General features: G+C 39.1%; 1 long non-coding RNA gene across 1 annotated transcript in view, besides 1 other annotated feature; it reads right to left on the bottom strand.

Annotated features, from left to right (window-relative positions):
- Window positions 1–14867, bottom strand: part of LOC105370529 (uncharacterized) — a 149443-nt gene that overhangs the window by 55423 nt on the left and 79153 nt on the right. The gene's annotated exons all lie outside the window — the stretch shown is intronic.
- Window positions 5927–6461: an enhancer, noted in NCBI's record as "OCT4-NANOG hESC enhancer chr14:62912186-62912720 (GRCh37/hg19 assembly coordinates)". NCBI's record gives its function as "activates a minimal SCP1, AML or CMV promoter by ChIP-STARR-seq in naive and primed H9 embryonic stem cells {active_cell/tissue: H9 hESC(naive and primed)}" and the evidence as "EXISTENCE:reporter gene assay evidence [ECO:0000049][PMID:30033119]".

Raw genomic sequence — 14867 nt, 5'->3', positions numbered from 1 at the left:
GAAGACGGAGGTTGCGGTGAGCCAAGATCACACCACTAAACTCCAGCCTGAGTAACAGAGTAAGACTCCATCCAAAAAAAAAAGAAGTTAGCAGAAGCTATTGGTTATTGGGTGGGGTTTTTGGAAAAATTCTTTACAGGGGTAGGATTTTGCTGGGAGCTCAAAATTTAGCTTCTGACCTTACCTCTTCTCCTCCCTGTTGCCTGGAACAGAGACAACTATGGAAGGCTAGAGCTGCAAGGTCAATCTTGTGACAAATCATTGACCCTGAGGATGAATGTCAGCTGCTAAGGATTGTGGAGGATCTTGGCCCTCTAAGGGTTTGCTAAAAATCACTGACTTGAGGCAAATTGATTAATAGGAGAAAAGATATACAAATGTATTTAACACGGATAATGGCAGTCTTCAGAATGAAGAACCAACTTTTCAATGAGTTATAGAAATTTATATGCCGTCCTGAGGCCACAATAAAGAATGCAGACTCAGAGCATGGCCAGGAACAGGTTATGTTGGTTAATCAGGTTTAGCGGCAAGACAGGTTAAGAGAGAGAGAAAGGAAGAAACTTGGCTAGCAAAGGTGGTCTTGCTATGTAGATGGAACCTCCCTCAGAGAGAACAGATGGTAATTGTTTCTTTTTGGACTTTTATAGATGTCAGACTCTCAATCTCTCCTGAATCTGGGAAGGGGATAGGAAGGGGAGGGGCATAGCTGCATTAATGGAGATTCTCTACAGATGCAAATTGTCCACCCCCTCCCCACCAACACACACACACACACACACACACACACACACACACACACAAACAGCTTTGCATGGCCACTTCTGCACTTCTGTTTGCTGGCTAAAGGGCCGCCATTTAATAATATGTCAAAGAAATATATTTGGGGTAAAATATATTACTTTCCTTCTGGATGATGGAACAGAATAAAAGAAAAGCCTGAGTTCTTGATGACATGGAGCTGCTATAGCTGTCCTGATTGGCTTACTTCTGACTTTTTTTATACAAGGGAAAAATAAAACTCTATTTTGTATAAGCCACTCTTATTTGTATTTTTTTCTTAGATGTAGATAAACCTCAGCTTTACTGAAGCAAATAGTTTTAAGGACCTGTGTTGGAGTAGAGGCTGGATCTAGAATGGAGACTCAGAGAAAGTTCTCTGTGGAAACAATGCTTGAATTGAGCTCTGACTTAGATGGGGTGGGTAAGGAAGATAAAAGAAAGGAAAAGAGAGGAGTTTTTCAGAAAGAGAACATGTGCAAGACCCTCGAGATAGAACTAAGAGAATTAGGCGTGTTCCAGGAGGGGAAAAAAAAAAAGATTAGTGTGCTTGGAACACAGAAGGTTAGACTGAGAGTGACCCAAGTTGCTATTTAAGATTTCAGCTCATTGTATAGCGGATTTTTTATAATTCATAGGTCTTACACAACTGAAGCTTTATACCCATTGAACAGCAAGTTAGCAATACTGTATGGTACATTTAAAAATGTATTAATAGGAGAGATCTCATGTTAAGTTTAATTGCCATGATAAAAATAAATAAGATTTAAGCATAGATATAATTATATTCCACACATACATACACGTAGGCACACACATACACACACAGTAGCACACCATTTATAACGTGGAAGATACATCAGAGGAAGTAACAGTGTAGGCAGGGAGACCAGTTAAGAGTCTACTACAGAAGTCGAGAGAAGAGATTTGTCAGAGGCATGTGAACCAGAGTGACACCATCCTGAATAGGGGCTGGGTAAAATAAGGATGAGACCTACTGGGCTGCACTCTCAGGATGTTAGCCATTCTTAGTCACAAGATGATAGGAGGTCAGCACAAAATGTAGGTCCCAAAGACCTTCCTGATCAAAAAGGATGTAGTAAAGAAGCCAGCCAAAACCATCAAACCAAGGTGGCGATAAAAGTGGCCTCTGGTCATTCTCATGGCTTATTATGTTAATTATGACCTCTGGTGTTTCTCACTGCTAATTATAATTCATCAGCATGCTAAAAGAAGCTCCCACCAGTGCCATGACAGTTTACAAATGCCATAGCAATGTCAGGAAGTTACTCTATGTGGTCTAAAAGGAGGAGGAACCCTCAGTTTCAGGAATTGGCCACCCCTTTCCTGGAAAACTCACGAATAATCTACTCCTTGCTTAGCATATAATCAAAAAATAACTGTAAGTGTATTCAGTCGAGCAGCTCACACCACCGCTCTGACTATAGAGTAGCCATTCTTTATTCCTCTACTTTCTTAATAAACTTATGAACTTGCTCTGAATTCTTTCTTGTGCAAGGTCCAGGAACCCTCTCTTGGGCCTGGATTGGGGCTCCTTTCCAGTAACAATATTGATATTTTCTGCTAGCATCATGACAGTGAACATCAAGAAAAGTCTGTGGATTTGAATAGAAGTGAAAGAAATGAAGCAAACAGTAAACTGAATTATATTACGTTCCACTGCTTTTTAAAGAAATATTCATGTCTCACTCATTTTTCCCTTATAAACAGAATAACGAATTTGTTCAATAATTCATCCTTCATTGAGGGGGAGTCTATCCTTACGTCAGAAGTAACTCGTGATTAGTTGAAACCAGTTATTATAATCTCAATCCTATTACTAGTGATTTGATTTAGGCATGAACAGATGAGTTAATTCTGAGCAATGAGAATTAAATGAAATTTGCCAGGGAATTTGAGAAATTTTTTTTTTCCTTTAGAAGAAAGAAAAAATTCACACAGAAAGAAATACTGTCTTCTTCCTCTGGGTATTTTCACATCAGAATATGCTACCTGGAATGCTGGCAGCCACTTTGCAACCATGAGGGGAGCAAACCTGAGAACAAAGTTAACACATCAGAGAGATCAGAGTAGAGCGATAGAGAAAGCCTCACCTTCTATTTACCTACCTACAGACTTCTTGTTATATGAGACAATAACCTAAACCCCAATGTTTAAGCTAGTTGAATTGGGTTTTTTTGTTAATGGCAACCAATTTGATCCTACATGATCTACATTTCAAGCATTAGTAGCTGTTAATTTTAAATTTAGCATCAACATAACACCAATCATTTCATAGAAGATAGCTTGATTATTAATATACTAAGATTAAGATCTGTAACCTGTATTTCCCACTTCTCTTTTATAATGGAGAGTAAAGTTTTCATTTACTCAATTTAAAAATTAATAATGAAAGGAGGGTGACTAATAGTTTGATATCCAAAAGTAGAAATCAAATTGACCAGTCCAAATTTAGAGAAACTGTCTGGCAAAGCAGAAGCAAACAGGGTAAGGAAAGATATTATAGAGTTAAGAAATTTTAGAAAAAAAGGGCTTGATTTTTGTTTATGACCTTGAGAAGACTGAGTATGTAACTGCCTAACGTATTCTTCCTGCCCACTGCACAGACAAAGCCAATTCATGGATACCATGGCATTGCAATAAAGAAAAAGTTCATACTAAATGGGCAAAAACTGGAAGCATTCCCTTTGAAAACTGGCACAAGACAAGGATGCCCTCTCTCACCACTCCTATTCAACATAGTATTGAAAGTTCTGGCCAGGGCAATCAGGCAAGAGAAAGAAATAAAGGGTATTCAAATAGGAAGAGAGAAAGTCAAATTGTCCTGTTGATGACATGATTGTATATTTAGAAAACCCCACTGTCTCAGCCCAAAATATCCTTAAGCTGATAAGCAACTTTAGCAAAGTCTCAGGATACAAAATCAATGTGCAAAAATCACAAGCATTCCTATACACCAATAACAGACAAACAGAGAGCCAAATCATGAGTGAACTCCCATTCACAATTGCTACAAAGAGAATAAAATACCTAGGAATCCAACTTACAAGGGATGTGAAGGACCTCTTCAAGGAGAACTACAAACCACTGCTCAAGAAAATAAGAGAGGACACAAACAAATGGAAAAACATTCCATGCTCATGGATAGAAAGATTCAATATCGTGGAAATGGCCATACTACCCAAAGTAGTTTATAGATTCAATTTTATCCCCATCAAGCTACCATTAGCTTTCTTCACAGAACTGGAAAAAAACTACTTTAAATTTCATATAGAACCAAAAAAGAGTCCACATAGCCAAAACAATCCTAAGCAAAAAGAACAAATCTGGAGGCATCATGGTACCTGACTTTACACTACACTACAAGGCTACAGTAACCACAACAGCATGACACTGGTACCAAAACAGAGATATAGACCAATGGAACAGAACAGAGTCCTCAGAAATAACACCACACATCTACAACCATCTGACCTTTGACAAACCTGACATGAACAAGCAATGGGGAAAGGATTCCCTATTTAATAAATGGTGTTGGGAAAACTGGCTAGCCATACGCAGAAAACTGAAACTGGATCCCTTCCTTACACATTATACAAAAATTAACTCAACATGGATTAAAGGCTTAAACGTAAGACCTAAAACCATAAAAATCCTAGAAGACGGTCAGGTGCAGTGGCTCACGCCTGTAATCCCAGCACTTTGGGAGACTGAGGCAGGTGGATCACGAGGTCAGGAGTTCTACTAAAAATACAAAAAAATAGCTGAGTATGGTGGTGCACACCTATAATCCCAGCTACTCAGGAGGCTGAGGCAGGAGAATCGCTTGAACCTGGGAGGTGGATGTTGCAGTGAGCTGAGATCGTGCCACTGCACTTCAGCCTGGGCAACAGAGCAAGACTCCATCTCAAAAAAAAAAAAAGTCCTAGAAGAAAACCTAGGCAATACCATTCAGGACAGGCATGGGCAAAGACTTCACGTCTAAAACACCAAAAGCAATGGCAACAAAAGCCAAAGTAGACAAAGAGGATCTAATTAAATTAAAGAGCTTCTGCACAGCCAAAGAAACTATCATCAGAGTAAACAGGCAACCTACAGAATGGGAGAAAAATTTTGCTATCTATCCATCTGACAAAGAGCTAATATGCAGAATCTACAAAGAACTTAAACAAATTTACAAGAAAAAACCCCATCAAAAAGTGGGTGAAGGATATGAACAGACACTTCTCAAAAGAAGACATTTTATGCAGCCAATAAACATATGAAAAAAAAGCTCATCATCACTGGACATTAGAGAAAAGTAAAACAAAACCACAATGAGATACCATCTCACACCAGTTAGAAGGATGATCATTAAAAAGTCAGGAAACAACAGATGCTGGAGAGGATGTGGAGAAATAGGAACACTTTTACACTGTTGGTGGGAGTATAAATTAGTTCAACCATTGTGGAAGACAGTGTGGCAATTCCTCAAGGATCTAGAACTAGAAATACCATTTGACCCAGCCATCCCATTACTGCATATATACCCAAAGAACTATAAATCATGCTGCTATAAAGACACATGCACACGTATGTTTATTGCGGCACTATTCACAATAGCAAAGACTTGAAACCAACCCAAATGTCCATCAATGATAGACTGGATAAAGAAAATGTGGCACATATACACCATGGAATACTATGCAGCCATAAAAAAGGATAAGTTCATGTCCTTTCCAGGGACATGGATGAAGCTGGAAACCATCATTCTCAGCAAACTATCACAGAACGGAAAACCAAACACCACATGTTCTCACTCATAAGTAGGAGGTGATCAATGAGAACACATGGACACAGGGAGGGGAACATCACACACGGCGGCCTGTCAGGGGGTGGAGGGCTAGGGGAGGGATAGCATTAGGAGAAATACCTAATGTAGGTGGTGGGTTGATGGGTGCAGCAAACCACCATGGCTCATGTATACCTATGTAACAAAACTGCACGTTCAGCGCATGTATCCCAGAACTTGAAGTATAATAATTAAAAAGAAAAGATAAAAAGATATTAGAGGCTGGTCACGCCAGGTAGAAGATAGAGTTATTACTTAAATCTATCTCACTGAAAATTCAGAGGGTAGGGTTTTTCAAGGATAGTTTGGTGGGACAAGGAGTCAGCTTCCGGGTAGGGTCACGGGACCCACGGGTGAAGTCATCCCATGCAAAAACCTGAAGAGATACCCAAGAAAGCCAATCTTAGGTTGCACAATAATGATGTTATCTGCAGGAGTGATTGGGGAGTTGCAAGTCTTGTGACCTCCAGAATAACAGCTGGTAAGCATTTATGCCTACATCTTAGCAGAACTGGGGCTCTTCATTCTCCTATCATGGTGGTCTTTCATGAGCTTTACAAAGGCGATTTAGTCTTGGGGAAGGGCTATTGTCATTTAAACTATAAAGTCTCCCAGTTAGCTTGGCTCAAGCCCAGGAATAATTAAGGGCAGTTTAAAGATTACAGGCAAGATGGGGGTTGCTTAGATCAGATCTCTTTCACTGTCATAATTTTGTCACTGTTATAATGTTTGAAAAGGCAGTTTCAAGTACAGTTGTATTTGGCAGAGTAATAAGAAAAAGGAGGGGCATTCAGGGCAGACTTGCCTAAAAAGCCACAGGGTTTAGTACTTTATTACATTTTACCTTCATTTAAAACTATTTATGCATGTATTTGCACAAAAGATTAGTTTCAACAGTTTATGATACAGCACTGGGATTATAGTAGAAATTCAATTCTTATCTAAAGAAAATAAATGTTCATGGGGTAAACCAAACTAAATTTAGAAGAGGTCATGTCTACGATGAAATTAGATAAAAAGATTTTATCTGGGATAAAACTAGTTTCCTGACTACTAGAAAGAAGACCCTTTTTAGGTAAGCATATTGCATTGTTAATCTGCTGCAGAAGCAAAATATGTTGCTGGAGATGTAGAGGAATATAAATATGAAAGGCATAGTTAACTTTGCTTCACGATTTTTCTAAATATGTCCCCAGGTAAATTAAAAGGTATTTTAGTAATAGACACATAGTAAATTATGACGAAATACTGTACAAATGTGGAACTTTAGGTTAAAAATCACAGATGCAATCTATGCGTTGACTTTTACTGTGTTCCAGAACTTACTAAAATGGCAGTAAATAAACTTTTAAAAGTTTGAAGTAAACCATATATATAATTCACACAAAACAAGGCACACATCGTAAGTATAAAGCTTGATGAATTTTCAACACTGAACATATATGTGTAACCAGCAAACACAGCAAGAAACAGAACCTTCTAAGCATCCCAAGAACTCCCTCATCCCATTGCCAATCACTGTAGTAACTCCAAATGTATTCGTTACCCTGACATCCAACAACATAGATTAATTTTTCCAGGTTTTTCCTGATATGAAAAAAATCATGGAGTATGAATTCTTTTGTATCTGGCTTATTTTCCTCCATATTAATTATATTAATTATAGATCAAATGCTATAAAAATAGCATTCATATTGCTATTTCATACTTCATTGTATAAATATACTACAGTAAAGGAAATTTTAAGAAGCATAAATTCACAAAGTTAAGGAGGATGAGAGAGGAAATTACAATAAATTTTAAAAGCTGTAAAGAAAAGGAAGGAGTTATAACTGAACTTGAAGACCAGAAATTTTTTGAAACATATGGTGGCAGTGAGGGAAGCCTAAAAACTAGCTACTTCATGCAGTAGAATAACCCATAATTAGAGGTGCTCAGTATTTCTAAAACTTTTTGTTAGAGGTAGAGCTCAAACCAGGAACACAAGCTCTAAGTCTGTGAGAAAAGCAGTTAGAACCCCGACCCTGTCACACATACAGCTGGGCTGCTGCTCCTGTGTCTTCTTGGCAGAAGACTAGAAATTTAATCACTATCTACAATGAACCAGAGACTGGATGTGGAGACCAAAAGCACAGCTGAGTTGTCATTGCACTAAACACAGAAGATTAATTGAAATCCTATATTCTGAATGTTGAGTTATCCACTCCTCTTGTAACAAACTATTCTGAGAATGTGGGCAGTAATATCCTTCTCTAAGGATGTTAGATGATTCACCTTTGGAGGTGCCAATCAGTGCAAAAGAAATGGGCTAGAGATACTGACAACTGGTGATTCACCCTGCAAAGCAGCCAACGAATTTATAAGTCCTGAGCAAGCACATGGGGTGTCCCATCAGCTTTTGAGTGGCTGTATTAGCCCGTTCTCACACTGCTATGCAGAAATAACCTTGACTGGGTAATTTATAAGGAAAAGAGATTTAATTGACTCACAGTTACGTATGGCTGGGGAGGCATCAGGAAACTTACAATATGGCAGAAAGCAAAGTAGAAGCAGGCATCTTCACAGGACAGCAGGACGGCGTGAGTGCAGGTAAGGGAAATGCCAGATGCTTATCAAGCCATCAGATCTCCTGAGACTCACTCACTATCACAAGAACAGCATAAGGGAATCTGCCCCTATGGTTCAGTTACTTCTACCTGGTTCCACCCCACATGCGGGGATTATGGGGATTAAAATTTGATGTGAGATTTGGGTAGGGACACACAGAGCCAAACCATATCAGTGCCCTTCAATACAATTCACCCAATGTTTGAGAAAAGACTCTAATGTGAAAAACAAAGATAAAAACAAACAAATGCACAAAAAGGAATTAGAGGTAATGGGCAGGGAAATGAAAAAAATTTTTAAAACACTAAAAATAAATTAAAATAAGAATAAGAGTGTAACTACCCAATGGGTTCACCTTGCCTGCTGCCTAGACAGAGCTGGTTTATCAAGACAGGGAAATTGCAACAGAGAAAGAGTAATTCAGACAGAGTCGGCTGTATGGGAGAGCAGAGCTTTATTGTTACTCAAATCAGTCTCCCCAAGCATTGGGGGATCAATTTTTAAGGATAATTTTGTGGGTGGAAGAAGGCCAGTGAGTCAAGAGTGCTGATCGGTTGGGTCAGAGAAGAAATCATAGGGAGTTGAAGCTCTCCTCTTGTGCTGAGTAAGTTCCTGGGTGGGGGCCACAGATCAGATGAGCCAGTTTATCAATATGGGTGGTGCCAGCTGACCCATCAAGTTCAGGGTCGGCCAAATATCTCAAACACTGATTTTCGGTGAAGTTTAGGGAGAGTCAGAATCTTGTAGCCTCCAGCTACATGACTCCTAAACCATAATTTTGAATGTTTGGCTAATTTGTTAGTACTACAAAGGCAGTCTAGTCCCACAAAGACAGTCTAGTCCCCAGGCAAGGAGGTTTGTTTTGGGAAAGGGCTGTTATTGTCTTTGTTTTAAAGTATAAACTAAGTTCCTCTTAAAGTTAGTTCAGCCTTCACCCAGGAATGCACAAGGACAGCTTGGAGGTTAAAAGTAAGACAGAGTTGGTTAGGTAAGATCTCTTTGACTGTCTCAGTTATAATTTTGCAATGGCAGTTTCAAGAAGCTTTAAAATAATATATTCTGAGAAAGTATAAAAGAGCACTTAAAAGTTACTATTAATGAGAAATTCAGTATAAAATAATTTTAAGGAAATTTCTTAGAAATAGAAACAGCAATAAGATGTGAAGAACAAGAGAGCAAAGATTAAAGATTCAGTCCTAGATGTCCAATATTCAAATAATCAGTTTAGAAAGATAAGAGAAAGAAGATGTAGGACAGGCATAGTTCTACAAATAAATTTTCCATTATTAAATGCTACAGAGAGTGATGTCAGCAAGACAGCTCACTAGAGGTGCCTAACACTTGCCCCCAACAAAAAAGGACCCAAATGATGAATGAACAACTACATTTCAACCACAGTGACTAAAGGAGAGTGCTGGGGAACAGCAAGGGAGTGGCAGAAACTCTGTGGAGCACAGAAACTCAGGATGTACACATCCAGAAGAGAAAGAAACATCATGTATCCACCATACCCTCTTCCTCCTCAGTTGAGATCAGCTTGGGACCAGGAGGGACTTCTCCTTGCAAGGAAAAGATAAGCAGAAGGCCCCTAGCAGCCTCCATCACTGTAGAGGACACTCACAGTTTTCACTACTAATGGATCCTGCAGCCCTCACAGACCCTGAGCCCAGCTAAGGGAGCTGCATAGAATTCACATGGAGGCACTACTCCAGATGAGCCTATGTTGTACCTTGCACCCTGTGAATCAAACTGCTACTGCACTGCAACATGTTAAAACCAGAGCTACTGCTAGAGTGTGTTCTGTTCTGGGGGCCAGTAGCCATTGTATCCCTCCATCCCTGAGGCTCTGCCATCATTGCACCCCCACTTTCACACAAATGGTAGGATACCATTTCCTCACTCAGCTTCTGTAGCCCCCTACCATCTTGAAATAAGCTGCATAGGAAGCATTCCACTTCCCCAATCCCAATTGCTGCTCCCCTCAACCCCAGCTACTCAAAGACTAGGCCCAGCAGAGCAGCTGTGCTCCCTGATGCTCAAACCAACCTATCGCCTGCTCCACAGGAATCAAGCATTGGCTTGAGAGTAGCTGTGACCCCGTGCACAGCCAACACAGCACCCTGCCCCTCAGGGACCATACCCTTCAGCCCAGTGAGTAAGATATAATGGATTTACCAGAGCAGCTACATACCCTTGGCACCTGAACTAATCTGGTGCCTTGTGCTGAGGAAATTGGAGCTTCTACCCAAGGGAGCAGCTGCAACCTTGGCACATGGGGTGTCCTGCCTCTCAGGGACCAAGTGCTCTGGCTCAGCAGAGAATCCATGCCTGAGCCAGTGGAGCAACTGTGCTCCCTAGTGCCTGAGTCAACCTGGTGCCTCATCCTCCTGAAATTGGAGTTCCAGATGAAGAGAGGAGCCATAACCTTGGCGTCCAACCCAGTGTGGCACTCTGATCTCCCTGGGTACCAGGATCATTGTGCAAGAGAGAAACTACACCCAAGTCTGCATAGCAACCTCATCCTCTAGGACCTGAACCAACCCAGGGTCCCACCTGATTCTTCCCCTCCCAGAATTGGAACATCAGTCCAGTACAACAGCCACACCTTCCTTGTGCTTGAGCTGACATAGCACCCTGCCCCACCAAGGAAATAGAGCCTTCCTGAGCTGTGCTTCTTCACCCTCTGGGCCAAAGATCCACAGTGCCTTACCTCCCTAGATCAGAACCAGCCTTCCAGAGTTTGAGTTGCTAAGATATCCTATCTCCTTGGGGAGTGGCACCATGCTTACAGTGTTCTGTACCACCTAGGGCCCAAGCCACAGCTTTCCTACCATTCCTGGGTTTTTGCTGCTGCTGCAACAGGATGTACAGAGCCTGGGCCACTATTGTGTCCCACTACTCCAGGGTCCAGTCACCACTATGCAATATCTCCTTTTTCTTGTGCCCAACTTGCCACTGAGCTCTGCTGGCTCCAGGACCTGGATTGCAGTTGTGCCCTCTTCCTGGGGCCTGAACCTGTGAAACACTCCTCCTTTCCTGGAGTTTTGCCAGTGCTGGAGGATCGGAGTCACAGTTACATCTCTGTCTCCTGGGGCTGAGCTACTGGAGAGTGCCTTTAGAGTTACAGTCCTCAGCTTGGTGGGAGAGCTGCATCCACTGTGCCTCAGAGAGTAAACCTTCGCTCTTATCAAAGGTGCTACGATAGTTCAACAGGACACTGAATCCAGCATACCAGCTCCACAGCCATTCTGAGCACCTGTACCCTGGAACATAGTGCTCCTGAGCTGCCTATGGCCCGTGTCAGACCCAACACCAATGAGGACCCCATCAGCTAAGTCTCCCACTGTGAGGAAAGAAAATAAAAGACTCCTAAAAAGTTTGCCACTATGAACTCTAACAACCAACCCTGCAAACACCCCTGCCACAGTCTCCTGAAGTCCAGACCACTGAGGTGCCTGCAGTCATCACTGACATTGATCACAGTTGAAGAACATGTATGTAGACTATAATACCATGCCCACCTGAACCCAGAGCCAACACACTCTGTCCAACTGACATCTTAGTTCCAACTCATTTGCACATAAGTCTTTCCCTATGAAAGCCAGAAATATATAACTGAAGAGTCAACTGCTCCATCAGATGTGCAGACATCAACACAGGATCATAACAAAGAAGAAAAAGGAAGGAAACATGTCACCACTACAAGAACACAATAATTTGCAAGTAACTGACACCAAAGAAATGGAAACTTATAAATTACCTGAAAAGGAACTTAAAATAATGATCTCAAGGAAGCTCAGCAAGATACAGGAGAATACAGCTAGATAATTCAATGAAATCAAGAAAATAATGCACTATCTGAATGGGAAATTCAATAAAGAGATATATGTCACAAAAAATAACCAAACAAAAGTCTTAAAGCTGAAGATATCAATGAATAAAATAAAAAATACAAATGAGAGCTTCGACAGCAAACTAAGAGAAAGAAGGAAACCTACAAAAATGATTAGACAACATTAAGTGAATAAATTTTAACATTATAAGAGTTTCAGATGGAGAAGAGACAGAGAAATGCACAGAAAGCTTAGTTAATCAAATAATTGTTGAAAACTTCCTCAGTTTTGGGAGATATACAAACAAGCAGATCCATGAAGCTCAAATGTCCCAAGCAGGTTCAACCCAAAAAGCTCCTCACTTAGGCATATTACAATAAAAAAGTCAAAGACAAACAGAGAATTTTTAAATCAGAAAAAGAAAAACGTCAAGAGACATACAATGAAATCCCCATTAGACTATCAGTGGATTTCTCAGCAGAAACCTTGCAAGCCAGGAGAAAACGTAATGATAGATTCAAAGTGCTCAAAGAAAAAAAAAAAACTGCCAGGCAAAAATACTATACCCACCCAACCTATTTTTCAGAAATGAAAGAGAAATAAAGTATTTTACAGAGAAGCAAAAGCTGAGGGAATCCATCACCACTATACATGCCTTAGAACAAATGCTTAAGGGAGTGCTTTAATTGGGAAAAAAAGTGATAATTACTATTATAAAAACATGAAAGTATAAAACTCACTGATAGAGGTAAATTCATAATCAAATTTGGAATACTTTAGTATTCTAATGGTGGTGTGTAAATCTTTCAAATGTCTAATATGAAGTTTAAAAGTCAAAATGGTCAAAAGTAACTTTAGGTGCAGTAAGTTGGTAAGAAATATACAATATAAAAAAGTAAATGTTGAAAATAAAAATATAAATAATGGGAGGCAACAAAGTTTAGAGTATGTGTATGTGATTGAAGCTAACTAGCTAACAGCTTGAAAGAGCTATAAGATGTTTTATGTAAGCCACATGATAACCACAAAGCAAAAAACAAACAGAAAACAAAATGAAACAACAGCAGATAAATGATAGAAAGGAATAAAAGCTTAGCACTGCAGAAAATAACCAAATCACAACAGTCGACAATGAGAGATGAAAAAAGAAGTAAAGGAGCTACAAAACAACCAGAAAACAATTAACAAAATGGCAGTAGTAAATTCTTGAATGTAAATAGATGAAACTCTCCAATCAAAAAACATAGAGTGGCTAAACGGATTAAAAAAGACCTAACTATATGCTACCTAGAAGAGACCCACTTTAGCTTTAAGAGCATACATAGGCTAAAAAATGAAAGGATGGAAAACAGTACCATGCAAAAGAGAGCAGGGGTAGCTATACTTAACATCAGATAAACTTAGACCTCAAGTCAAAAACTATTATAAGAGACAAAGAAGTTTATTTTGTAATGATAAAAGAGTCAACTCATCAAGAGGACATAACAATTGTAAATATATATGCACTCAACTTTGGAGCACCTAAATTTATAAAGCAAATATTAATGAACATAAAAAAGAAATAGAGAACAATATAATAACAGTGGGGGACTTCACTATCCCATGTTCAACAATTAATAGATTAACAAGATAGAAAATTAACAAGAAAATACTGGACTTAAAATGCACTTTAGACCAAATGGATCTAACAGACATACATAGAATTTTTAATTGAACAGAGGCAGAGCATGCATTCTTCTCCAGTACACATGGAATATTTTCCGGGACAGACAATGCATTAGGCCACAAAACAAGTCTTAACAAATTCAAGAAGACTGAAATAATATCCAGACTATTTCTCAGCACAATGGTGTGAAACTAGAAATCAATAACAAGAATAATTTTGGAAAATTTACAAATATGTGGAAATTAAACAACATGCTCCTGGAACAACTAATGGGTCAAGGAAAAAATCAAAAGGAAAAATTTAAAATCTGAGATAAATGACAATGAAAATCCAATATATGAAAACCTATGGGATGCATCAATACAGCTCTAAGGGAAGGGCTTATAGCAATAAATGCCTCCATTTTTTAAATAAAAGAAATAGTCAAAATAAATAGCATAACATTATGTCTTAAGGAGCTAGAAAAAAGATCAAACTAAACCCAATGTTAGCAGAAGGAAGGAAAAAATAAAGATCACAACAGAAATAAATCAAATAGAGAACCAAAAAAAATGAATAAAACCAAAAGTTGACACTTTGAAAAAAATTGACAAAACCAACAAACTCTTACCTAGAGTAACTAAAAACAAAAACAGAGAAAGCTCAAATAAGTAAAATTACAAATGAAAGTGGAGACATTACAACAGATGGCTCAGAAATAAAAAGGTTCATAATGGATTGTTATGAACAATTATAGGTCATGAATTAAATAACCTAGAGAAAATGGTTAAATTTGTAGAAAAATACAACCTACCATTATTGAATCAGGAAAAAATGGAAAGCCTGAAAAGATGAAAAACAAATAAAAAGACTAAGAAAGTAATTAAAGCCTTCCAATAAAAGAAAACCCAGATCAGATGGCTTCATGGCTGACTTCTCTCAAACATTCAAAGAATTATTACCAACATCTTAAACTCTTCCAAAAATAGAGCCAGAAAAAATACTTCCAAACACATTTTATGAGGCCAGCATCACCCTAATACCCTGCCTTGGGGCCTCTATTTTCTCTGTGAAGTAGGAGGGGGTGGGTCCTTGACAAAGGAAAAGGAGAGAAATAGAACTGTGTATACTTGTGAATAATGTGATTGTA

Source organism: Homo sapiens, chromosome 14 (assembly GCF_000001405.40).
Source record: "Homo sapiens chromosome 14, GRCh38.p14 Primary Assembly".
NCBI lineage: Eukaryota > Metazoa > Chordata > Mammalia > Primates > Hominidae > Homo > Homo sapiens.
Note: the sequence above shows the minus strand (reverse complement) of the source record. Positions and strands in the feature narration are given on the sequence as shown.